At 47.0% G+C, this 24,125-nt stretch overlaps 1 protein-coding gene and 1 pseudogene across 10 annotated transcripts in view, besides 2 other annotated features; both read left to right on the forward strand.

Annotated features, from left to right (window-relative positions):
- The window catches only part of IGF2BP1 (insulin like growth factor 2 mRNA binding protein 1), a 59,588-nt gene extending 35,670 nt beyond the window's left edge, over positions 1-23,918 (forward strand). For 4 of the 10 annotated variants that reach the window (XM_047435139.1, NM_006546.4, XM_047435143.1 and 1 more), the window contains 10 exons: positions 5,941-6,222; positions 7,730-7,864; positions 9,151-9,273; positions 10,015-10,150; positions 11,201-11,323; positions 11,740-11,859; positions 12,764-12,838; positions 13,663-13,794; positions 14,033-14,146; positions 17,125-23,918. In XM_047435139.1, the coding sequence (XP_047291095.1) occupies positions 5,941-6,222; positions 7,730-7,864; positions 9,151-9,273; positions 10,015-10,150; positions 11,201-11,323; positions 11,740-11,859; positions 12,764-12,838; positions 13,663-13,794; positions 14,033-14,146; positions 17,125-17,217 (1,333 nt within the window). In that variant the 3' untranslated portion in view covers positions 17,218-23,918. The remainder of the gene's footprint in view (positions 1-5,940; positions 6,223-7,729; positions 7,865-9,150; positions 9,274-10,014; positions 10,151-11,200; positions 11,324-11,739; positions 11,860-12,763; positions 12,839-13,662; positions 13,795-14,032; positions 14,147-17,124) is intronic. The other 6 variants (XM_011524201.3, XM_047435141.1, XM_047435140.1 and 3 more) reach the window with 4 other exon arrangements.
- Positions 716-1,257: an enhancer, noted in NCBI's record as "H3K27ac hESC enhancer chr17:47110305-47110846 (GRCh37/hg19 assembly coordinates)". NCBI's record gives its function as "activates a minimal SCP1, AML or CMV promoter by ChIP-STARR-seq in primed H9 embryonic stem cells {active_cell/tissue: H9 hESC(primed)}" and the evidence as "EXISTENCE:reporter gene assay evidence [ECO:0000049][PMID:30033119]".
- Positions 4,125-4,222, forward strand: RNU6-826P (RNA, U6 small nuclear 826, pseudogene; annotated as a pseudogene).
- Positions 16,850-17,759: an enhancer, noted in NCBI's record as "H3K4me1 hESC enhancer chr17:47126439-47127348 (GRCh37/hg19 assembly coordinates)". NCBI's record gives its function as "activates a minimal SCP1, AML or CMV promoter by ChIP-STARR-seq in naive H9 embryonic stem cells {active_cell/tissue: H9 hESC(naive)}" and the evidence as "EXISTENCE:reporter gene assay evidence [ECO:0000049][PMID:30033119]".

Below are 24,125 nucleotides of genomic sequence, written 5' to 3' on the forward strand. Positions count from 1 at the left end.
GGCTCCAAAGCCCTCCCAGATAAGTGGGAAATCCCTTGCAGAGAAAATGTCCCCTGCTGATAGGTCTCTGGTTGCTCCAGGACCTTAGAGTCCTTTGCCGTGTTCATGGCGCCATCTAGTGATAATGAGGGGGAACTTCGGGGTTCAAAAAAGATTCCTCAACCTTGGGATGCTGGGACATTTTATTGCAGTGATGGTCGTAAACCTAGCTGGTGATAGTTGTGGGGTCCTTTTAGTCCCATCGCACCCACAATTTTAGCTCCTAGCCCTTTGATTGAGCAATTATGCGTCTCACTCACTGTTACAGACAGACTATACATTTTGCGCATTACTCATTTATATTAATATCCGAGCCCGTTATAGGCTTTTGCCACATTTTGCTTTGGGCTTTCTTGCTTCTTAACATGCCGCCTTCTCCAATCTAATAATACTATGTAAAATCCTACCTCTTCTTCAAATACCTACCATTTTCTTTTAGATACCTCCTGGGCTCAGAATTTTCTAGAGGTTCCTACTGCCCCTTGTGGCCACTAGGGTTTGGCTTTAAAGCTCATGTCAACAGTTGTTCATTCTCTCCTGCCTATTGTTGCTGTGTTCTTGTTTTTTGGAGACAAGTCTCACTCTGCCACCCAGGCTGGAGTGCAGTGGCATGATATCTGCTCACTGCAACCTCAACCTCCTGGGCTCAAGCAATCCTCCCACCTCAGCCTCCCAAGTAGGTGGGACTACAGACATGCACCATTATGCCTGGTTCATTTTTGTATTTTTTTGTAGAGACGAGGTTTCACCATGTTGCCCAAGCTGGTCTCGAACGGCTCAAGTGATCCGCTTGCCTTGGCCTCCCAAAGTGCTGGGATTACAAGCTTCAGCCACCTCGCCTGCCCTTTGTTACCTCGTTAACATTTCTGGGCTTTTTATTTATTTATTTATTATTTTGAGACTGAGTCTTACTCTGTCGTACAGGAGGCTGGAGTGCAGTGGTGCAATCTTGGCTCACTGCAACCTGCGCCTCCTGGATTCAAGCAATTCTTGTGCCTCAGCCTCCTGAGTAGCTGGGACTACAGGTGTACACCACCATGCCCGGCTGGCTAATTTTTTTTTTTAATCTTTTAATTTTTATTTTATTTTTTTTGAGACGGAGTCTCACTCTGTCGCCCAGGCTGGAGTGCAGTGGCGTGATCTTGGCTCACTGCAACCTTCACCTCCCAGGTTCAAGTGATTCTCCTGCCTCAGTCTCCTGAGTAGCTGGGATTAACAGGTGTGGACCACCACACCTGGCTAATTTTTGTATTTTTAGTAGAGATGGGGTCTCACCATGTTGGCCAGGATGGTCTCGAACTCCTGACCTCAAGTGATCCACCCACCTCAGCCCCCCAGAGTGCTGGGATTACAGGAGTGAGCCACCGCACCCGGCTGCCTTATTAACATTTCTAACCAGTGTCAGCCTTGGGAATGGATGATGCTTGTGCCCTCCCTTCAATCTTATTCAGCCCCATTTTACAGACATACCAAATATACTGAGACTCTAGTCTCCAAGTGGTAAGCAAGCCATTCTGTCTCCAATTCCTATGTCTTTGCCACGGTTAAAAGAAAAATAATTATTTTATTTTTTGAGACACTCTCTCCCTGTTGCCCAGGCTGGAGTGCAGTGTTGCAAACACAGCTCATTGCAGCTTTAACTTCCTGGGCTGAGGGAATACTCCTGCCTCAGCCTCTAAAGTAGCTGGGATAACAAGCATGCACCACCATGCTGGGCCAATTTAAAAATTTTTAATATTTAGAGATGGGAGTCTCGCTATGTTGCCCAGGCTAGTGTCAAACTCCTGGCCTTAGCGATCTTCCTACCTCAGCCCCCCCAAAGTGTTAGAATTATATCATGATTTGCCCCTTTTTTTTTTTTTTTTTTTTGAGATGGAGTCTTGCCCAGGCTGGAGTGCAGTGGTGCGATCTCTCTTCACTGCAGCTTCCACCTCCCGGGTTCAAGTGGTTTTCCTGCCTCAGCCTCCCGAGTAGTTGGGACTACTGGACTACAGGTGTCTGCCACCATGCCTGGCAATTTTTTGTATTTTTTAGTAAAGACGAGGTTTCCCCATGTTGGCCAGGCTGGTCTTGAACTCCTGACGTCAGGCGATCCGCCCACCTTGGCCTCCCAAAGTGTTGGGATTACAGGCATGAGCCACCACACTTGGCCTTTTTTTTTTTTTTAAACCTCAAAATCTTTAAAAATGCTGTCGGGTTTAGTGGCTCATGTTTGTAATTCCAGCCCTTTGGGAGGCCAATGCAGGGTGGGTTGCTTGAGCTCAGTAGTTCAAGACCAGCCTGGGCAACATGGCAAAACCCCATCTCTATAAAAATTACAAAATATTAGCTGGGCATGGTGGCACATGCCCAGCAGGTTGAAGTGGGAGGATTGCTTGAGCCCAGGAGGTGGAGGTGGAGGTGGAGGTTGCAGTGGGTTGAGATCATGCCCCTGAATTCTGGCCTGGGTAACAGAGTAAGACCCTGTCTCAAAAAAAACACAAAAAAAACAAAAAAAACAAAAAAAACGAAAAACCAAAAACACAAAACTTTTCAAGATGGAATCCACAGAGGTGGATTCAACCAAAGGAGGTGCCAGACTTAATAGGTGTAAAAATGACAAATCCCTTAATTTATTACATGTTTTCACTTGTGATTGTCACATAAATCCCGTAAGATATGCAGTTTCGGCTGACATTGACAAGTTGATCTTGAGGAAATGCAGAAAAACCTTAACAGTCTTGAATAAGAAGAACAAGGAAGAATTAAACTCCCGAATTTTAAAACTTACATCAAACTACGGTAGTCAAATTAGTGTGGTACCGGCTTCAGGATAAACATACTGATCAATGGAATAGAATTCAGAGCCTAGAAAAGCCTTTACGTTTATGATCGGCTGGTTTTTGTTTTTATTTTCACACAAAGTGCTAAAAAGACAGTTTATTAGGAAAGATAAGGTGTTTTCAACAAATGATGCTGGGGCAGCTCGATGATATCCACATGACAAAAGATGAATTTGGACTTCTACCTTACACTGAACACACAAATTAATTCAAAATGGATTACAGACCTAAATGTATTAGCTGTAAGGTAGGCAGGGCACAAGTATCAGTTTTCCTTTACAGTTGATGAGACTTAGGTCTAGACTAGGTTGTAAGTTTCCTGCTTCATATAGCTAGTGAGCAATAGAACTAAGATTGGAATACTGGTGTCCTAATTCAGTTATCTTTGCCCTGGGAGCCTGGGCAGATGCGGATGCGAGGTGCGCTGGGAGGTGGCAGCGGTCTGGGGCAGTGGCCTGCGGTGGGTAGGCTGGGACCTCGCAGTCTCCCCACACACATGTGGGGCCCCACCACATGGCGCCTCCCTGCGGGCGTGCACCTGCAGCGGTGGGGGTGGCTGGGGCACCTGGGAACGGGGATGCCTTGCCCTCCGAGGTCTCCCCTGGGCGGCCGCCCATGCCATTTTCCGGGCTGCTCGCCTTCTAGAAGTTCCTGCAGGAAGCTGGTGATGTGGCCTCCCTGACCCGGGCCCGCCCCCCACCACTTTGCTGGAGGGGTAGTCAGATTCCAGCCGGGATACGTAGCAGCAGCTTGGTGGCAGGCGATAGGAAAATGGGCAAAAGCCCCAACTGGCTGGAAGGCAACCCCGGGGGCCGGACCTCCTTGTGGGAGGGCCCGGGACTGCACTAGGCGGGAGTGGAGGCCGCGGCTCCAGGCTGGTCTCGGCCTGGTAATTTGACACGGCCAGCCGGTCACTGTTTAAGGCACTGTGTACCATTTTACTAACTTAATCCTCACGGTGACCGCATTTCCCAGCTGGGCCAACTGGTGCGGGGTTGACTGGAAGCGACCGGGGTTGACTGGAAGCGACCGGCATAGCGCTTGGCAAGTATATAGCAGGTAGTAAAATGGCTGTAATTTTGAAAGTTAGCTTTGTGAAGTGTTGGGGCTGCGGCATCTGCTGGTGGTGTGTGGTATTACAGCCCCGTGCTGGCGGACCCCATTGGGTTGGGGAGCGTTGCGAGATTGTGGCCCCAGAGCCAAGTGGGCAGTTAGGGGTCTCTGGAGACTCTGGAAGGAGAGGTAGCACAAAAGACAGCGGAGGTGTTCGCTTCGGCAGCACATATACTAAAATTGGAACGGTACAGAGATTAGCATGGCCCCTGCGCGAAGATGGCACGCAAATTTGTGAAGCGTTCCATCAAAAAAATAAAAAAATAAAAAATAATAAAAAAAAATGGGGGACTGCGGAGGAGCTAAAATTTCGAGACTGCATGTTTGTTTTTTTTTGTGCACCAGCAGCTCATTAGAAGAATTCCTCAATTGCTGCTTCAACACCCGCCACGATGGCGTTCAACCTGGCAGATTAATTTAACAACTCTCTGATGGGTTGCCCTGAAATTTGAAAAACAGTGCCTTGGGCTGGGCGCGATGGCTCACACCTGTAATCCCAGCATTTTGGGAGACCGAGGCGGGCGAATCACCTGAGGTCGGGAGTTGGAGACCAGCCTGACCAACATGGAGAAACCCCATCTCTACTAAAAATACAAAATTAGCGGGGCATGGTGGCGCATGCCTGTAATCCCAGCTACTCGGGAGGCTGAGGCTTGAACCCGGGAGGCGGAGGTTGCACTGAGCCGAGATCACGCCATTGCACTGCAGCCTGGGCAATGAGCAAAACTCTGTCTCAAGAAAAAAACAAAACAAAACAAAAAACAGTGGCTTAAGCAAAGGCCACAAGAAAGAATTGAGATCAAAGAGGAGTGTGTGCCATGGCTATGGAGGGGTTTCAGTTGTGAATTATGAAATGTCATGTAAACCATTTCAAGCATTTCAAGGAGTTTGAATTTTATATAAAAAACAATGGGAAGACGCTGCAAGTTTTGAAGCAGCATCTCAGACATGTTGAAAAAGATGTTTGGATCCCTAAAATAATGAGAGAAAAGGCCAGAGAGAGGTGTTCTGAACAACTTCAAGATTTTACCAAATGTTGCAAGAACTCTGGAACCCTTACGGTAGGAAAATGCTGGAAAGAAAATTCTCTATTGAAAGGACGTCTAACTGCTCACTATAATGATCCAGCCTTTTATGAAGAATGCAAAATGGAATACCTGAAGGAAGGAAGAATTCAGAAAAACTGGAATTTCTACAAAGAGAAGGCTACAGAAACTTCCCATAAGCCTGTAGGCAAATATTCAAATGATATTCAGGAACTCTAATATTCATGGAAGTCATTTATAGTATAAATTTCCTTAAATAATGGACTCAAGAATGTGTGTTTGCTTTATCCTAATTATGGAAATATTAATTTTTATCTGAAATAAAGATCTTTTATTTCAAAAACGAAAATAAACCCCACACTTCATTAGGGCAGGATTAACATTTGAATTCTACATGTATACATTTCAATCTCCTTTGACCTTGGTTTCATCATCTCTAAAGTTAGGAGTATGTAGTAGTTAGCAGTTGGTTTCCTCACCCTGTAGTAGGGATTCCTCAATCCGGGAAGTGTATGTGTTAGCTTTGTGGAGCCTCTTCAGGTCTGTGGTAGGCTTTCCAGTTGGCATGGGAGTACTTTGAGATCTATGGCTTGCTCTTCCTTTTTAGGCTAGCAGAACCCTATACTTTCTATTGGACTGGAAGCCCATTTCTCTGATGGTTCCAGTGGAAAGCCTTTGTGAACAATAAATCCCAACTAAGTGTTAGGGAACACTGTATTTATTTACTTTTCCTTTGAAGTCTTTGATGCCATTTAGACTGGAAAGTTGTGAAAAATGGAGGTGGAGGTAGTGGGCAGGTGACTATCTCCTTTTCTTTAGTGTGTTCCAAGCTGTAACTTACTAGAGTGCTTTGGCCAAGAGAGCATCTGGTATGATTGGCATGGATTGGAATGACCTGTAGACTCTCACTCTGTCCCCAGAGCCATCATGAAGCTGAATGGCCACCAGTTGGAGAACCATGCCCTGAAGGTCTCCTACATCCCCGATGAGCAGATAGCACAGGGACCTGAGAATGGGCGCCGAGGGGGCTTTGGCTCTCGGGGTCAGCCCCGCCAGGGCTCACCTGTGGCAGCGGGGGCCCCAGCCAAGCAGCAGCAAGTGGACATCCCCCTTCGGCTCCTGGTGCCCACCCAGTATGTGGGTGCCATTATTGGCAAGGAGGGGGCCACCATCCGCAACATCACAAAACAGACCCAGTCCAAGTGAGTCTTGGCTCTTGGGGAATGGAGGTTGGGTGCTAGGGAACAGTGGTTGGTACCTAAAGAGGCCTCCTGGAAGCATGCTGGAGACATCAACATTTACCTTTTAGGAAATGTTGCCTGGAGCATTCAGGGGTCCCTGCTTCCAATACCAGCCTCCTGGGAAAGGGAGGGCAGATAGGGAGGGAGAATGGGTCTGGGGTGCTAGGCCACACACTCGTATTAGCAAGAGAGATTCTATAATTTCTCATGTGAAGTTTCATAAAAAAAGTCTCCAAGCAAACCTCATTTTGATGAGTCAGCAACTCAGTGCTCTGTGATTTCATGATCACTTAGTGTGGTAACAGGGCTGGCCAACCTGTCCAAAATTAGGACCTTCATAATTGTGTCCCATCTCCCATTCTGCCACTGCCACCTTCTTTCTTTAATATTTTTTTTTTTTTTTTTTTGAGACAGAGTTTTGCTCTGTTGCCCAGGCTGGAGTGCAGTGGTGCGATCTCAGCTCACTGCAACCTCTGCCTCCCGGGTTCAAGCAATTCTCCTGCCTCAGCCTCCCGAGTAGCTGGGATTACAGGCGCGTGCCACCATGCCCAGCTAATTTTTGTATTTTTAGTAGAGACAGGGTTTCACCATGTTGATCAGGCTGGTTACGAACTCCTGACCTCGTGATCCGGCCGCCTCAGCCTCCCAAAGTGCTGGGATTAAAGGCGTGAGCTACCACACCCGGCCTTTTCTCTAATCTTTATATCTGATCAGTGTACTCAGTGGCAAAGAACAGGTCATATTATGTCCTTATCATAGTAAATCTTGTTATTTACTTTGAGTTTGGGGCACTGTGTCTTCTCTTTATATTTGTTTCAAGGGGGACATACGGAATTCAAGCGGAAATGCAGCTTTGGAGCTGTGGGCTGGTAATTCCCACCCCTGCATTTGTGTCATAGGCTGTGTTCTTGTCCCCAACCACTGCTTGCTTATTTATTTATTTTTATTTTATTTTTTGAGGCAGAGTCTCACTGCGTCACCCAGGCTGGAGTGTAGTGGTGTGATCTCAGCTCACTGCAGCCTCCTCCCAGGTTCAAGCAATTCTTGTGCCTCAGCCTCCTTAGTAGCTGGGATTACAGGTGTGCACCACCACACCCAGCTAAATTTTTTGTATTTTTAGTAGAGGCGGGGTTTCACCATGCTGGCCAGGCTGGTCTCAAACTCCTGGCCTCAAGTAACCCACCCGCCTCGGCCTCCAAAAGTGCTGGAATTACAGGCGTGAGCTCCCGTGCCTGGCCACCAACCACCTGTGGATTGAGACACTGCTGGTCTGAGACAGAATCCACAGTAACAGACGGGTCATATTTCTCCAGTCCTTTCATTGCCCTTCCCAAAGTTGTACTTGATTGTCCTTGTTTCAAGAAGAGCAGGTTCTATGCCTTTGACTGAGGAGGGGTAGTGGGGTGGGGAGCCTGAAGTACTGGTATCACTGGGGACAACTAACCAGCCTTGTCCTTGTGGCCCCCAGGATAGACGTGCATAGGAAGGAGAACGCAGGTGCAGCTGAAAAAGCCATCAGTGTGCACTCCACCCCTGAGGGCTGCTCCTCCGCTTGTAAGATGATCTTGGAGATTATGCATAAAGAGGCTAAGGACACCAAAACGTAAGTCTCCAGCTTTTCTTGGATCTTCAGGGTCTGCTAGTCCAGTTGAGCCTCCCCAACTCAACTTTCAAGCTTTTATACAGACATATAAGAAATACAGTCAGCAATTGCACAAAAAGATGTAAACTGAGAAATAAAATCTTTCTTCTTACAGGACTTTGTCACCTAGGCTGGAGTACAGTGGCATGATCTCAGCTCACTGCAACCTCTGCCTCTGGATCTCAAGGGATCCTCCCGCCTCAGCCTTCTGAGTAGCTAGGACAACATGCATGCACCACCACGCCTGCCTAGTTTTTTGTGATTTTTGTAGAGATGGGGTGTCGCCATGTTACCCAGGCTGGTCTTGAACTCCTGGACTCAAGTGACCCACCCAGCTCAGCCTCCCAAAGAGCTGGGATTACAGGCGTGTGCCACCACACCCCATCCCTTCTTATTCCTGTCGTATGACCTCCTAGAAATTCTGTGCACTCACAGGTGTGTGTATATTGTGTCTGCGTGCCTGCATGTACGGATATGTGTGCCTGTGTGTATTCACTTGTGCGTGTATGCACATGTGTTTTAGCTCAGAGAGAATCACACTGAACAGGCTGTTCTATACTTTTTTCATTTTCTGTATCAGCACATATATTAGTACATATGGACAGACCGCATTATTTTTATAGCTGCATAGAATTCCACAGTATAGCTATTCATAGTTCATGTAATCAATCTCCTATTTCTTGATGGGTGTTTAAATTGTTTTAAACTTTTCCTTATCAGAAAACAGTGATGCAAGGAATCTGCTTACACATGTTCCTTTACACACTTGTGCTGTTTAAAATAGCTTTATTGGCTGGGCACGGTGGCTCATGCCTCTAATCCCAGCACTTTGGAGGCTAGGAGTTCTAGACCAGCCTGGGCAACATAGTGAAACCTCACCTCTACAGAAAATAGAAAAATCAGCTGGACGTGGCGGCCTGTGCGTATAGTCCCAGCTACTCGGAAGGCTGAGAAGGGAGGATCGCATGAGCCCAGGAGGTCAAGGCTGTGGTGAGCCTTGATAGTGCCACTGCATTCCAGCCTGGGTGATAGAGTGAGACCCTGTCTCAAAAAATAAAACAAATTGGCTTTATTGATGTTCAATTGATGTATAATAAATCATACATATTTTTAAAGTATGCAGTTTGATAAGTTTTGAGATGTTTTACTTGGAAATGCCAAGTCTGGGGTGGCATGGTGATTGAGTCTTCATGAAGCCCACAATTGAAGGAACTCTTGTCTTCCACTTCTTCCTTTGTCTTCCCAAGGGCTGACGAGGTTCCCCTGAAGATCCTGGCCCATAATAACTTTGTAGGGCGTCTCATTGGCAAGGAAGGACGGAACCTGAAGAAGGTAGAGCAAGATACCGAGACAAAAATCACCATCTCCTCGTAAGGCTCTCTTCTATTTCCCTGTTTATGAGTGGGGGATGCATGGGGGCCAGGGTCAGTATTTCATCATGGAACCTTGATATGTGCTCTTTTAAAATGGGTGCTCCTTCTGCCTCTTGAAGAAAAACAGTCGAAGTGGTAAAGAGCATTTAAAAAATCCCTGTAAGGACTGGATCTGCCCATTCCCACTGCCATATGGGGCAGGGGTGTTGTAAGGTGCTGCCTCTACAGTCCACGTCCAACCACTTCACAGCCCTCTTTCCCTGTGGCTCGTGGACAGCCTGCAGCTAGGAGCCAGGGATTCAGGGCTTTAGGCTTGTCTGTCACTGTGAGAAGTGACCTTGGCCCTTTTCTGTCTGTGGTGGGCTGCTCCTGCAAGCAGTGTGCTTCGTTTCATCAGAGACTAACCTGTGGGCAAAGTAATTGCTCTTGTCCAAAAAGGTATAGGACATGGATTATGTAGAATCAATGGGGAAACTTGGAGGCACAACCATAATCTGAGATTGGATCCATTGCTAACAGAGGAGTTTGAGTTAGGTGTTGGCATCTCCCTCCATCTTACCCCCTGCCCTGGTTACAAACTGGGAACACCAAAGACTGGGGTTGCAGAGTTATTTGCCAGAAGTTGAATAGGCTGCAGAAATGGTGGGCCTGTGACTCAGCTGGCCTCTCGTCTTTGTTACTGCCGGGGCCTGGTCCTGGCCTGCCAGTGAAAGGACACAACTCTGCTCTTTCTGCCAGGTTGCAAGACCTTACCCTTTACAACCCTGAGAGGACCATCACTGTGAAGGGGGCCATCGAGAATTGTTGCAGGGCCGAGCAGGAAATAATGAAGAAAGTTCGGGAGGCCTATGAGAATGATGTGGCTGCCATGAGCGTGAGTGCTGGGTAGTACCCTCTGCTTATCCTTTCCTGAGTCTTAGCAACAGCAGCTTGTGGGGTGCAGGGTGATGGACATGTGCCCTGTGCCGTGTGGCCTTGGAGCTTTAGTTGATGCTTTTGGACTTCGACTATCAGAAATAGTATTTAAATAGTATTTAATTAGCAAGGATTCTTCACCTGGTTCCTAGAGTAGGGGTCCAATCTTGGGCTTTGAGTCCTGTGATTCCAAGTATGTGTACAATTTGTGTTTGTGTGCACTTTATTGAAATGAGGGGGTCCATCGTTTTCATCTGATTTTTATTTTATTTTTTTGAGACAGGGTCTTGGTATGTTGCCCAGGTTGGAGCACAATGGCGCAATCATAGCTTACTGCAGCCTTGACCCCCTGGGCTCAAGGAATACTCCTGCTTCAGCCTCCCAAGTACCTAGGAGACTACAGGTGTACACCACCATGCCCAGCTAATTTTTTAAAATTTTATTTTTTGGAAACAGGGTCTTGCTGTGTCACCCAGGTTGGTCTAGAACTCCTGGGCTCAAGCGATTCTCCTACCTTGGCCTCCCAAAGTACTAGGATTATAAGCATGAGCCACTGCACACAACTCATCTGATTTTTAAAGGAGACTTGGGGTTGGGGTACAGGACCAAAAATGTTTAGAATCAGAGTCCTAGAAGTCCAATGGAGCTCTGTCTCCACGCCTTTTTCTCATATAGGGGGTTATAGTATAGTGTCATGGGTCTATCGTCTGTCTCCAGCAGTCTGAACAGCCAGAGAGGAAGGACTCCTGAGGGTGTACAACTGTTTGGCATTTCTGGTTGCAATTGCTAGCCGTTAGTCCAGTGAGAACATCATATCACTTAAAATTCCACACCCGAAGTGTGTAGGTGAGAGTGTATGAAAAGCACAGAATAGGCTTTTGTGGAAAAGTATGTAATTCATGTTTTTGGCCCACTTGCCTCTGGGGCTACTCGCCTTTTATACAGCGGGGGTCACACACAAGCCCCTGTCAGGGTGTGCTGACTCTTCCTCCTCATCTTTCTTCCCCAGCTGCAGTCTCACCTGATCCCTGGCCTGAACCTGGCTGCTGTAGGTCTTTTCCCAGCTTCATCCAGCGCAGTCCCGCCGCCTCCCAGCAGCGTTACTGGGGCTGCTCCCTATAGCTCCTTTATGGTAGGTGGAAGATCTTATTACACGGGATCCCTGGGCCCATATGTGGCCTCCCTTAAGGGGGACTCAGCATGCTCTGGGAGTTGGATGCTTGGCAAGTTTGCAGGGAGAGGGAAGGAAGGTCTCAGAGGCATCCCTCCTCTCCAGTGCTCCTAGCCACTGGCTCTGAGGCTCCCAAATGTCTGCCTAGAATGCTCCCGGGGCATAGACAGCACTGTTCCCTTACTCTCTCCTGGCCTCTTCCCTTTAGCCCTACTGGGCATAGGAAGAGCTAAAGAGCTCACAGCATCCCTTGGCAGCCCAGGGTGGCGGTTTGGTGCCTGTACTCCTTCCTCCTTGAGGATGCAAGGCAGGGGAGTGGAGGGTTTCTGGGCCATGCTACTTGGGCCCCCTGGTAACAACGCCTCCTATCCTGGCAGCAGGCTCCCGAGCAGGAGATGGTGCAGGTGTTTATCCCCGCCCAGGCAGTGGGCGCCATCATCGGCAAGAAGGGGCAGCACATCAAACAGCTCTCCCGGTTTGCCAGCGCCTCCATCAAGGTGATCTGCTCTGTGGGTCTTCCTGTTTCTGGAAAGGGAGGGGTCTCTGCTTTTATCACTCTGCACTTTCTCCCATATTCCCCCTACTCATTTGAGAATTCTGTGTGTCATATGAGGGACCTTTCCCCCATGGAATCGAAGTCCTCTTTGTTTTTGATCTTGCTTGGTCCCCATGGGATGGCTTCAGTGCTTCTGGGTTTTCAGGCTGGGCAGGGGCAGGGTTATAACATAGAAAGAGAACTTAGGTTCTAACACAAACTGATGGGTTCAAATCCAAGATCCATCTCATCACCCCTTCCCCCAATACACTATATGATCTGAGCCTCACTTTCCTCGTCAGTACAATATTATGAGGCTACGCAGCCAAAGCCCTTCGCTCACATACTAACACCAAGTAAGTGTTAGTTGTCTGTCACCTTCCCTGGCCAAGGTCCAGGGGAGAGAGAAGGGAGAATCTGTCATAGTGAAACAAGGATGCTGTTAGAGTTTCACAAACCTAAATCCGGTTGCTTTAGTTGTCTTAAAAGCTTTGAGCAAAAACCTTGATTGTTCTCCAGTGGAGGTGCAGTCACTGCCCTCTATCCGTTGGTCATTTCATTTGTGTCCTTGCCTGTTGGCAAGACTCCACTGAAACCTCTCTGGGAGATTGGTAGGTGGAGGGGGCAGGAGGCCCTACTTAGAAAGTGTCATTGAAGCCAATCCTTCTAACTGACCACCTCTGCCCTCCTAATAATTCTGGTGTGAAGGCGTAATGATGTGGGCTTCAGGGTCTTTGTTCTTCCTCCCCTAAGTCTTCAGAATGGGTAGTTGGGAGTAAGGGTGGTAGAAGGGGAACTGGATGAAGTGGACATGGTGGGGGTCTTCCCATAGAGGGTCCCTCATTGACTAGCTTTTTGCTTTTTAGATTGCACCACCCGAAACACCTGACTCCAAAGTTCGTATGGTTATCATCACTGGACCGCCAGAGGCCCAATTCAAGGTTTTGGTCTTTATTGTTTTCCAAGCTGAACATGGAGGAATTGAGGTTGGGTATTTCCCCTGAGGTAGGAAAAAGGCTGGGTCAGTTTCCCGTTAGCTGTCAAGTCCTCATCACATCTTTAAGCCTTCCATGCAGGATAAAGGGCTGCAGAGCTATTTTCAAATTGACATCAAACTGGATTTCTGTTGACTTCGTCTTCCCTTTTTAAGGTCCACAGAAGAAGATGGGAAGGAAAGAAGTCTGAGGGCATCTTATTTGCACTCTGCTGTCATTTCTAAGGAAGGCCTTTAATGCCAAATTCTCATCTTTTATGTCCCCACTAAATCCTAAGGTTCTTGAACTTCTGATCAGACAGCCAAAAAATGAACCATCAACTAGCTTAACCTAACATATGTGAGGATAGAGGACTGGGACAGCTCTCTGGGCCACTGGAGAGTCAGACAGGCCTGCCCTCTGTGTGACTTGATTAGTTGCCATTCAGGGCCTTGAAATGCTGGTCAGTGCCACGTCCAGATTCCATAGGTCTGGTTTGTAGCTTGTGAATTAGATTCCTCTGGGAACTATTTTTTCCCTTGGGAAGTGTTTATTCAATTACTCATAACTCATAATCTCCACCCAGGGTCTCCAGTATGATAGCTAAGCAGAAGGAATGCTGACAAGCTGCCCACCTGAGCCTTGCCCTTCACCTGCCTTAGATGGTTAGCCCGCCTAGGATGGGGAGGGCCTGTGGGCCAGAAAATATGGGCTGGAGCTTCCTTTTTCCCACTTTTCTCTTTTGTCACAGATATATGAACCACTGATTAACAATTACCTCCTCTTCTCAGGCTCAGGGAAGAATCTATGGCAAACTCAAGGAGGAGAACTTCTTTGGTCCCAAGGAGGAAGTGAAGCTGGAGACCCACATACGTGTGCCAGCATCAGCAGCTGGCCGGGTCATTGGCAAAGGTGGAAAAACGGTGAGCTGTGAGGGCCAGGTTGAAAGCCCTGGGCCTTGGTCTCCAATCTCAGCAGCTCTCTCTGGTCTCCTGTACTGCTCAACCTCAGGACTCCTGATTTGCTCATTTACTTGATTCTACTCCCCAAGCTCAGGTCCTGACTCTTCCAGGTTCTCCCCACTAGTCACCCTGGCTCCTCCCTCCAACCCCACCCATGCTTTCTTGATGGCACCCTGAGCTCCTCTCTGGCCACCCCCAGGTGAACGAGTTGCAGAATTTGACGGCAGCTGAGGTGGTAGTACCAAGAGACCAGACCCCTGATGAGAACGACCAGGTCATCGTGAAAATCATCGGACATTTCTATGCCAGTCAGGTACATATGGTGCTCCCCCATTGAGGGAGGGCTGCAGGAGCCCAGGGAGCAGAGAAGCAGAGACTCTATAGAGGTTGACCTTCATGACGTTGACAAGTCCTGGGGCCTCAGCCACATCTGCCTGCCTCTAGGCTAGGTTATTGCCCTCTTTCAGGTGCAGAAGTGGGATGTGTAGATGACATATTACCTCTTATTACTCTCTAGGAAAAGTGATTTGACAAGTTTAATGTACATATATTGTGTATAACATTATATATATAAATAACATATATATGAATATATATTATATGTAAATATATATATATATGTTCTACGTTAGTCCCTCCCTAACCCCTTTCTGCACTGGTTAAGAAAGAAGATTAGTTTTGTTCATGGAATAATGATAACAGTACTAACACCCTGGATTGATGGCATTTTTGAAATGTAGTCCCTCTGCCTTTCGCAGAATGGCTGTTCTCTCCCTGGTTTCTGCTCTTCCACCCTCCCATTCCTTTCCCAGAACTCATCATTGCCGTTCAGCACTCGGACAGGCTCCAGAGCATGGAAGGGAAGGCCAATATCAGGTTCAAATTTTGCTGAACCTCAGCAAGGCAAGCAAACAGGTGGTTGGCAGCTAATGGTGTTTTCCTAAAGTCTTAAATCCATCATTGTTAGAACTGGAAAGGAACTTTGGAGACTGTTGATCACAGTTCCTACAATTCATAGAAGATATCCAGATCTTAGCAGGCTTGTGGTCTGCTGGGGCTGCTAGAGCAATTGGGGCAAACTGGCTCTTGGTTTTTTGGCTTCCAGTGCCCATATAGTATAGCATCAAGTATGAAGGTTTTGGATCCAGGGAGCTTTGACCTCAAACTTCACATACATAGCCTTTCTGCTATGTGACCTTGGATAAGTAACTTTCTCTGATAACCCTTTGAGAAGTATTAACAAGAGGCTTTAGTTACATCTCAACTATATATATATATAAAATAACAAAAAAGTATTAATAAGAGCCATAATAATAATAATATCTAAGATTTATCGATGCCTTTGTATACCCAGCACTGTTTTATGTGGCTTATGTATATTAACTCATTTAATTCCCACAACAATTTCATTTTATAAATGAAGCTTAAGAGGGTAAATGTGAATCTTTAATTCAGCGTTTTTTTTTTAAAGAGAGTAAAGGATACCTCCAAAGATGCATAAAGCCAGGATATATTAATATTAAACACTGAAGCAATTTTAGCTGATCAGAATGAGAATTAAATGAAAAGCTATGTAAAACATCAAGCCAGGGTTGATGGAGTTGGACCTCTTATTGACTTACACATTATTTTCCCAACCTAGATCAACTTCCTCTTTTTTTTTTTTTTTTTGTGACAGGGTCTCGCTCTGCCATCCAGGCTGGAGGGCAGTGGTGTGACCACAGCTCACTGCAGCCTCTACCTCCCAGGCTCAAGTGATCCTCCCACCTCAGGCCCCCCAAGTAGCTGGGACTACAGGCAGGTACCACCACGCTCAGCTAATTTTTGTATTTTTTTGTAGTGATGAGGTTTCACCATGTGGCCCAGGCTGGTTTCAAACTCCTAGGCTCAAGTGATGTCACTGCTTCAGCCTCCCAAAGTGCTGGGATTACAGGCATGAGCCACAATGCCCAGCCTCAGCTGCTTCTTTAACCAGGAAAGGAAGCACTCATTTATGGAAAGGAGACATTCTGGTCTTCATTCTATGAAGTGAATCCCATTTTGCAGTTTATTTCCTTTATAAAACTTTATTCTTAGGGAAGAACCTTTTAAGAAGGAAATAATAAAAGATTGGGTATTTTGTCCATTTTTACAGTGAAGCTTATGTATTTATGCTTTTTGACTAACCCATATCTGGACTTTATTTTTTATTTTTACTTTTTTTTTTTTTTGAGATGGAGTCTCGCTGTGTTGTCCAGGGTGGAGTGCAGTGGCACAATCTTAGTTCACTGCAACTTCCGCCTCCCCTGTTCTAGTGATTCTCCTGCCTCAGCCACTCAAGTAGCTGGGATTACAGGCGCACGTCACCACGCTCGGCTAATTTTTGTATTTTTAATAAAGATGGGGTTTCACCGTGTTGGCCAGTCTGCTCTCGAACTCCTGACCTCAGGTGATTCACCCGCCTCAGCTCCCCAAAGCGCTAGGATTACAGGCATGAGCCACCGTGCACCTGGCCATATCTAGACATATTATTCCTTTTCCTGGGGTATTAAAATGAAGCGTGGATTTGTGATGATGTCTTCTAAGTTACGACCCTCTACAACAGGAGTCCCCAAACCCCGGGCCACGGACTGGTACCGGGCCACACAGCAGGAGGTGAGCGGCAGACGAGTGGGCATTACCTCCTGAGCCCCGCTTCCTGTCAGATCAGGGCGGCATTAGATTCTCATGGGAGGGCTAACCCTGTTGTGAAGTGCTCGAGGGATGCGCAGTGCATGTGAAGGATCTAGGTTGCACACTCCTTATGAGAATCTACTGCATGCTGATTTGAGGTTTCATCCTGAAACCACTTCCCCACCCCCACCTCCATCCGTGGAAGAAAAATTGTTTTCCATGAAACCAGTTCCTGGTGCCAGAACAGTTGGGGACCACTGCTCTGCAATATGTAATATATTTCTGCCTAGAAACTCTAGGCATTCTGTTTTGCGTTTGGTAATGTTTATCAACTTTGTCAAGTTTTAAATTCTGATGAATGGATTGATACTACTGTTTCTCCTTCCTTCAAGTCCCCCAACCCCATCTCCCACTTAACACCCACCACGTTTGCTGTATTTTCCAGGGGATACTCAGGCTCCACTGGAGGCAAAGAAATGTAAGGTCACCCCAACCCTCATTCTTCCTCTTTATCTTTCTTCTGAGTCCTGTGTGACCTGTTCTGTTTATTGCCTGTGTCTGGACCTGATGACCTCTCTTCCGTGGAAGGCTGTCTCCTTGGAGGTCTCACACCCACTCTCTTGCCTGTTCTTGCTGCAGATGGCTCAACGGAAGATCCGAGACATCCTGGCCCAGGTTAAGCAGCAGCATCAGAAGGGACAGAGTAACCAGGCCCAGGCACGGAGGAAGTGACCAGCCCCTCCCTGTCCCTTCGAGTCCAGGACAACAACGGGCAGAAATCGAGAGTGTGCTCTCCCCGGCAGGCCTGAGAATGAGTGGGAATCCGGGACACCTGGGCCGGGCTGTAGATCAGGTTTGCCCACTTGATTGAGAAAGATGTTCCAGTGAGGAACCCTGATCTCTCAGCCCCAAACACCCACCCAATTGGCCCAACACTGTCTGCCCCTCGGGGTGTCAGAAATTCTAGCGCAAGGCACTTTTAAACGTGGATTGTTTAAAGAAGCTCTCCAGGCCCCACCAAGAGGGTGGATCACACCTCAGTGGGAAGAAAAATAAAATTTCCTTCAGGTTTTAAAAACATGCAGAGAGGTGTTTTAATCAGCCTTAAAGGATGGTTCATTTCTTGACCTTAATGTTTTTCCAATCTTCTTCCCCCTACTTGGGTAATTGATTAAAATACCTCCATTTACGGCCTCTTTCTATATTTACACTAATTTTTTTATCTTTATTGCTACCAGAAAAAAATGCGAACGAATGCATTGCTTTGCTTACAGTATTGACTCAAGGGAAAAGAACTGTCAGTATCTGTAGATTAATTCCAATCACTCCCTAACCAATAGGTACAATACGGAATGAAGAAGAGGGGAAAATGGGGAGAAAGATGGTTAAAATACATAATAATCCACGTTTAAAAGGAGCGCACTTGTGGCTGATCTATGCCAGATCACCATCTTCAAATTGGCACAACTGAAATTTCCCCACTCTGTTGGGGCTTCCCCACCACATTCATGTCCCTCTCCCGTGTAGGTTTCACATTATGTCCAGGTGCACATAGGTGGTATTGAATGCTCAGCAGGGTAGGGGCTGACCACTGTCCCTGATTCCCATCGTTCTCAGGCGGATTTTATATTTTTTTAAAGTCTATTTTAATGATTGGATATGAGCACTGGGAAGGGGACGCTAACTCCCCTTGATAAAGTCTCGGTTCCATGGAGGACTTGAGTGGCCCCAAAGGCTGCCACGGTGCCCTCACCCCAGCCCATGTGCTCCCATAAGGGCTGGTTCCTAGAGGCAGGGGTTGTGGGGCACTCCCAGCCACGGCACTGTTACCTTGGTGGTGGGACTTGGAACCCAACCCTGAGCTCCCGATAAAGCTAAAGTCCATCATCTGGCAAATTCAGTAAATTGGAGAGTACTTGCTTCTGTTTGTATCTGAGAGGAATTTTTAACTGACGGCTTCTGTCTCCATGAATCATTATCAGCATGATGAAAGGTGTGTCTAAAAAACAATTCAGAATACCAGCAGCATTGTACAGCAAGGGGTAAATAAGCTTAATTTATTAATTTACCAGGCTTAATTAAGATCCCATGGAGTGTTTAGCCCTTGTGGGAGACAGAAGCCATCAGTTAAATGAGGTTAGGCCTCTCCTCCTAATATACTGATTGACAATGCATATTAGCCAGGTAATGCACTTTAGCTACCCTGGACAATGCTATCAAGTGTGCTGGGAAGGGAGGAAGGCCTCTCTACATATGGAAAAGCCCATGCGTGGAGTTCCCCTCCTTTCAACATTGCAACAACAGTAACAACAAGACAACCGCAACATGTGGGCGTAGTCAGGCAATGCTGTGTGCGAAGTAAACTACCTCAAGGTATGAAGTTACCTCAGCAATTATTTTCCTTTTTGTTCCCCCCAACCCCATTAAAAAAATTTTTTTTTGATTTTTGTTTTTTTGCAGCTTGCTGATATTTTATATAAAAAAGAAAAGCAAAGCAAAAGAGAAGCTGATAGTCTTGAATATTTTATTTTTTTAATGAAAAGAAAAAACAAGAAAGTTATGTTTCATAATTTCTTACAACATGAGCCAGTAACCCTTTAGGAACTCTCTATGGAGAACAGGCCTGGTGGGAAAGGCTTTGGGGGCTGCCCCCTTAGGAGGAGGCTAGTGCTAAGAGGGAAGGCCCAGGTTTGAGAGAGCCCAGAGGGGCAGAGCCCAGAGCCTTGTTTGGCCCTGATCTCTGACTTCTAGAGCCCCAGCTGCTGGCGGCTGCTGGAATATCCTACCTGATAGGATTAAAAGGCCTAGTGGAGCTGGGGGCTCTCAGTGGTTAAACAATGCCCAACAACCAACCAGCTGGCCCTTGGTCTCCTCTCTTTCCTCCTTTGGTTAAAGAGCATCTCAGCCAGCTTTTCCCACCAGTGGTGCTGTTGAGATATTTTAAAATATTGCCTCCGTTTTATCGAGGAGAGAAATAATAACTAAAAAATATACCCTTTAAAAAAACCTATATTTCTCTGTCTAAAAATATGGGAGCTGAGATTCCGTTCGTGGAAAAAAGACAAGGCCACCCTCTCGCCCTCAGAGAGGTCCACCTGGTTTGTCATTGCAATGCTTTTCATTTTTTTTTTTTGTTATTGTTTCATTTCAGTTCCGTCTTGCTATTCTTCCTAATCTATATCCATAGATCTAAGGGGCAAACAGATACTAGTTAACTGCCCCCACCTCTGTCTCCCTGTCTTCTTTAGATCGGTCTGATTGATTTTAAAAGTGGACCCAAACTTAGGGAATTCTTGATTTAGGGTGGCTGGTGGCAAGGAGGGGCAGGGGATATGGGGACGTGACTGGGACAGGTTCCTGCCTTATCATTTTCTCCCTAGGACATTCCCTTGTAGCCCCCAGAATTGTCTGGCCCAAATTGAATAGAAGCAGAAAAACATTTAGGGATAACATCAGGCCAGTAGAATTAAGCCTCTCCACCTGTCCCAACCATAAAAAGGGTCTCCCAGCTTTCCATCTCTGGCTCTATATGCTTTATCCCAAAACAAAGCAGATAACGTTCAGACGTCGGCCATTTAGTAATTTAAAGCGAATTTCCAGCAGCAAGCATGCTTTGATATCTGGTTCAGACTATCATCAGGAAGAAAAAAAAATCCCACAGTACCTGAAATGTGATTGTTGCAGTGTTCAGTTTCCTTGGGGGCCTGCTCCCTTCACACCTTGAGCCCAAGTCCTTTTCCGTTGGCTGATTCAGCTCCCAGAAGAGACGAGGAAGTGTGTGGCAAGGGACTGGAAAACTTCACTTGCTTGGATTAGGCAAGGCTCCACTCATTGTTGATATTTGCCCAGCAGGAAAATCATGTAAGTTATACCACCAGAAAGCAAAAGGAGCATGGTTTGGTGGTTAAGGTTTAGTGGGATGAAGGACCTGTCTTGGTGGGCCGGGCCCTCTTGTGCCCCGTAGGCTAGGTCTTAGGGCAACTCCTTGCCCTCCTGCTCAGCACCTCCATTTCCCCATCCTTGGTGAGATAACAAGCTATCGCGAAAAGCACTTGGGAGATTTGGATGATTTGAGAAGAGTGACTTAAAAAAAATGCTTCTGTGCTCTAAGATATATATGTGTGTGTGTGTGCTACATATATATTTTTAAGAAAGGACCATCTCTTTAGGATATATTTTTAAATTCTTTGAAACACATAACCAAAATGGTTTGATTCACTGACTGACTTTGAAGCTGCATCTGCCAGTTACACCCCAAATGGCTTTAATCCCCTCTCGGGTCTGGTTGCCTTTTGCAGTTTGGGTTGTGGACTCAGCTCCTGTGAGGGGTCTGGTTAGGAGAGAGCCATTTTTAAGGACAGGGAGTTTTATAGCCCTTTTCTACTTTCCTCCCCTCCTCCCAGTCCTTATCAATCTTTTTTCCTTTTTCCTGACCCCCTCCTTCTGGAGGCAGTTGGGAGCTATCCTTGTTTATGCCTCACTATTGGCAGAAAAGACCCCATTTAAAACCCAGAGAACACTGGAGGGGGATGCTCTAGTTGGTTCTGTGTCCATTTTCCTCTGTGCCAAAGACAGACAGACAGAGGCTGAGAGAGGCTGTTCCTGAATCAAAGCAATAGCCAGCTTTCGACACATACCTGGCTGTCTGAGGAGGAAGGCCTCCTGGAAACTGGGAGCTAAGGGCGAGGCCCTTCCCTTCAGAGGCTCCTGGGGGATTAGGGTGTGGTGTTTGCCAAGCCAAGGGGTAGGGAGCCGAGAAATTGGTCTGTCGGCTCCTGGTTGCACTTTGGGGAAGGAGAGGAAGTTTGGGGCTCCAGGTAGCTCCCTGTTGTGGGACTGCTCTGTCCCCTGCCCCTACTGCAGAGATAGCACTGCCGAGTTCCCTTCAGGCCTGGCAGACGGGCAGTGAGGAGGGGCCTCAGTTAGCTCTCAAGGGTGCCTTCCCCTCCTCCCAACCCAGACATACCCTCTGCCAAACTGGGAACCAGCAGTGCTAGTAACTACCTCACAGAGCCCCAGAGGGCCTGCTTGAGCCTTCTTGCTCCACAGGAGAAGCTGGTGCCTCTAGGCAACCCCTTCCTCCCACCTCTCATCAGGGGTGGGGGTTCTCCTTTCTTTCCCCTGAAGTGTTTATGGGGAGATCCTAGTGGCTTTGCCATTCAAACCACTCGACTGTTTGCCTGTTTCTTGAAAACCAGTAGAAGGGAAACAGCACAGCCTGTCACAGTAATTGCAGGAAGATTGAAGAAAAATCCTCATCAATGCCAGGGGACATAAAAGCCATTTCCCTTCCAAATACTCGACAATTTAGATGCAGAACATTTCTCTGTATTCAGACTTAGAGTAACACCAGCTGAAAACTGCAGTTTCTTTCCTTTGGATACATAAGGCTTCTCTATCGGGGTACGGGACAGGGAGGAGGCCTCATGTCTGAAGGGGGATTTAGGGGCGAGAGCCCCAGCCCTGACCCTCGGTCCTGTGCACCGCTTTGGGGCACAGTCTGATGGCGCCTTTGCTGGCGCCTTAGTATGGTTGACTCCGGATGGACAAAAGAAAAAAAATTTTTTTTCTTGAATGAAATAGCAGGAAGCTCCTCGGGAGCATGTGTTTTGATTAACCGCAGGTGATGGATGCTACGAGTATAAATGGATTAACTACCTCAATCCTTACAGTAAGATTGGAACTAAGGGCAGGGACTCATGCATAAGGGTATGAATCCCAGCCAGGACAAGTGAGTTGAGGCTTGTGCCACAAAAGGTTTGTCCTTGGGGAACAGGCAGGCCTGCCAGGATCCCCCCCATATCGATTGGGCTGGGAGGGCTGGCCATGAGGTCCCCACTTTCTGCTTTCCTTGCCCATGTGTCACCCCTTTGGCCTCCAGCTTGTCCCTCTCTCACTTTCTATAGCTTTGTTGGACCAGATGGTGAGGAAAGGAATGGCCTCTTCCCTTCTAGAGGGGGCTGGCTGGAGTGAGACCTGGGGCTTGGCCTGGAACCCACCACACAGCCCCAAAGTCAGGAAGCCTGGGGAAACCAGAGCTGAGACCTCTTCAACAGGGTTTCTTTGAGATCCTACACCTCCATTGGGCCCTTTTTCAGTCTTCAATGGGGGCCCAGTTGGCTCTAGAAGGAGAAGAGGTGAAGCAGGATCCTTTGCCCTGGGGGAGTCTGAGGGCGCGGTCCTTGGACTCATTCAGGCCGTCTTTGTAGTTGGGGGAGTTCCACTGGGCGATCCCAGCCCCTCCCCACCCACCCTCTAATGGACCTCCTCATAGAAGCCCCATTTCACTTTTGTTTTATCTACCTCTTAGCAAAACAATAGATAAATTAGGTAGTGGCAGCTCCACTTGCTTAGGTTAGGGGGGGAAAAAGATTTCTTTTTCCAAAGGAAAAAAATATTACCTTGAGAATACTTTCCAAAAAATAAAATTAAAAAAAAAAAAACCAAAAAAAAAAATTTTTTTTTAAAAGGGAGACATTTTCCAGTGACCACTGGATTGTTTTAATTTCCCAAGCTTTTTTTTCCCCCATAAATAAGTTTCACTCTTTGGCGATTTTCTTCACTTGTTTAAGATAACGTGCTAGCTATTCCAACAGGTAACAGCTTTCACAGTCTGCCCCTGGCCTGTCTCACCCCATCCCCCACCCTATTCCTGCCAGTGAGTCCTTCCTGTGCTTCTCTCCCTTCTCCCCTCCCAGCCAGCTGACTTCAGTCACCCCTGTCCCCCCTCCCCTGCCAATAAGCTCCCCCAGGAATAAAGGCTTTGTTTTGGGGATGCTTAAATCTTGACTGGCACTTCCCGGCTGTGGGGGCTGGGGAGCCACTTGTAACATTTCTGTGCAGATTTTATGTTAGCCACTGCTATGTAAAAGCACGTTCAAAATGAATTTCAGCAGATTATGTGTTACCATAATGAATAAACGTCCTCTATCACCATTTGGAGTCTCCCTTTTCTCCAGGATCTTGATCCTGGTCCCCAAAACCAGAGTGAATCAAAAGAGCTTCCTCCCCTGAGGCAAAGTGGATTTGTAAGCAGTTCTGAAACATCACTTACTCAGAAGAGGGAACGATGTATTTTGATGAGTGCAAATTGGGAAGAGCTGGAGGCCTACTGCTTGGGACAGTTTTTTTTTTTTTTTTTTTTTTAAATATGAGTGCTAGCTTATTCTGTAATTGCGGCAACTTTGAAAATTGTATTTTACTGGAAATCTGCCAGCCATCACCACCCGATTTTGATTGTATCCTTCCTCCCATCCTTTAATCTGTTCATTGCTTTGGGGGAGGTGGGGCAGCTGGCTCACACGTTGGAGTTTGTTCTTTGATGGATGAACGAACACTCCAGTTTTCTTTCCCGTGAAGGTTGTTTCAGCCACAAACCACTTCATTTTGCTGTTTCAATTTCAAAATAAAAGGAAACTTATATTGAAAGACAAGTATGTCTGTGTCTCAGGGTTTTTGGGTCTGGGAGCTGAGATGCTCAGCCTCAGCATGGGAGCCCTGGTTCTCAGGGACCTGAGTCATCCAAATGCAAAGTAGGCATTTTTCTTAAATGTACAGAGGAGTGGTTTTTAAATGGTGCCCTGCTCTTAATTAGCTTTGCATATTGGGAGGGGGGCAGGTCAGGTGTTTGGAATGAGGAC

This window comes from Homo sapiens, chromosome 17, assembly GCF_000001405.40.
Source record: "Homo sapiens chromosome 17, GRCh38.p14 Primary Assembly".
NCBI lineage: Eukaryota > Metazoa > Chordata > Mammalia > Primates > Hominidae > Homo > Homo sapiens.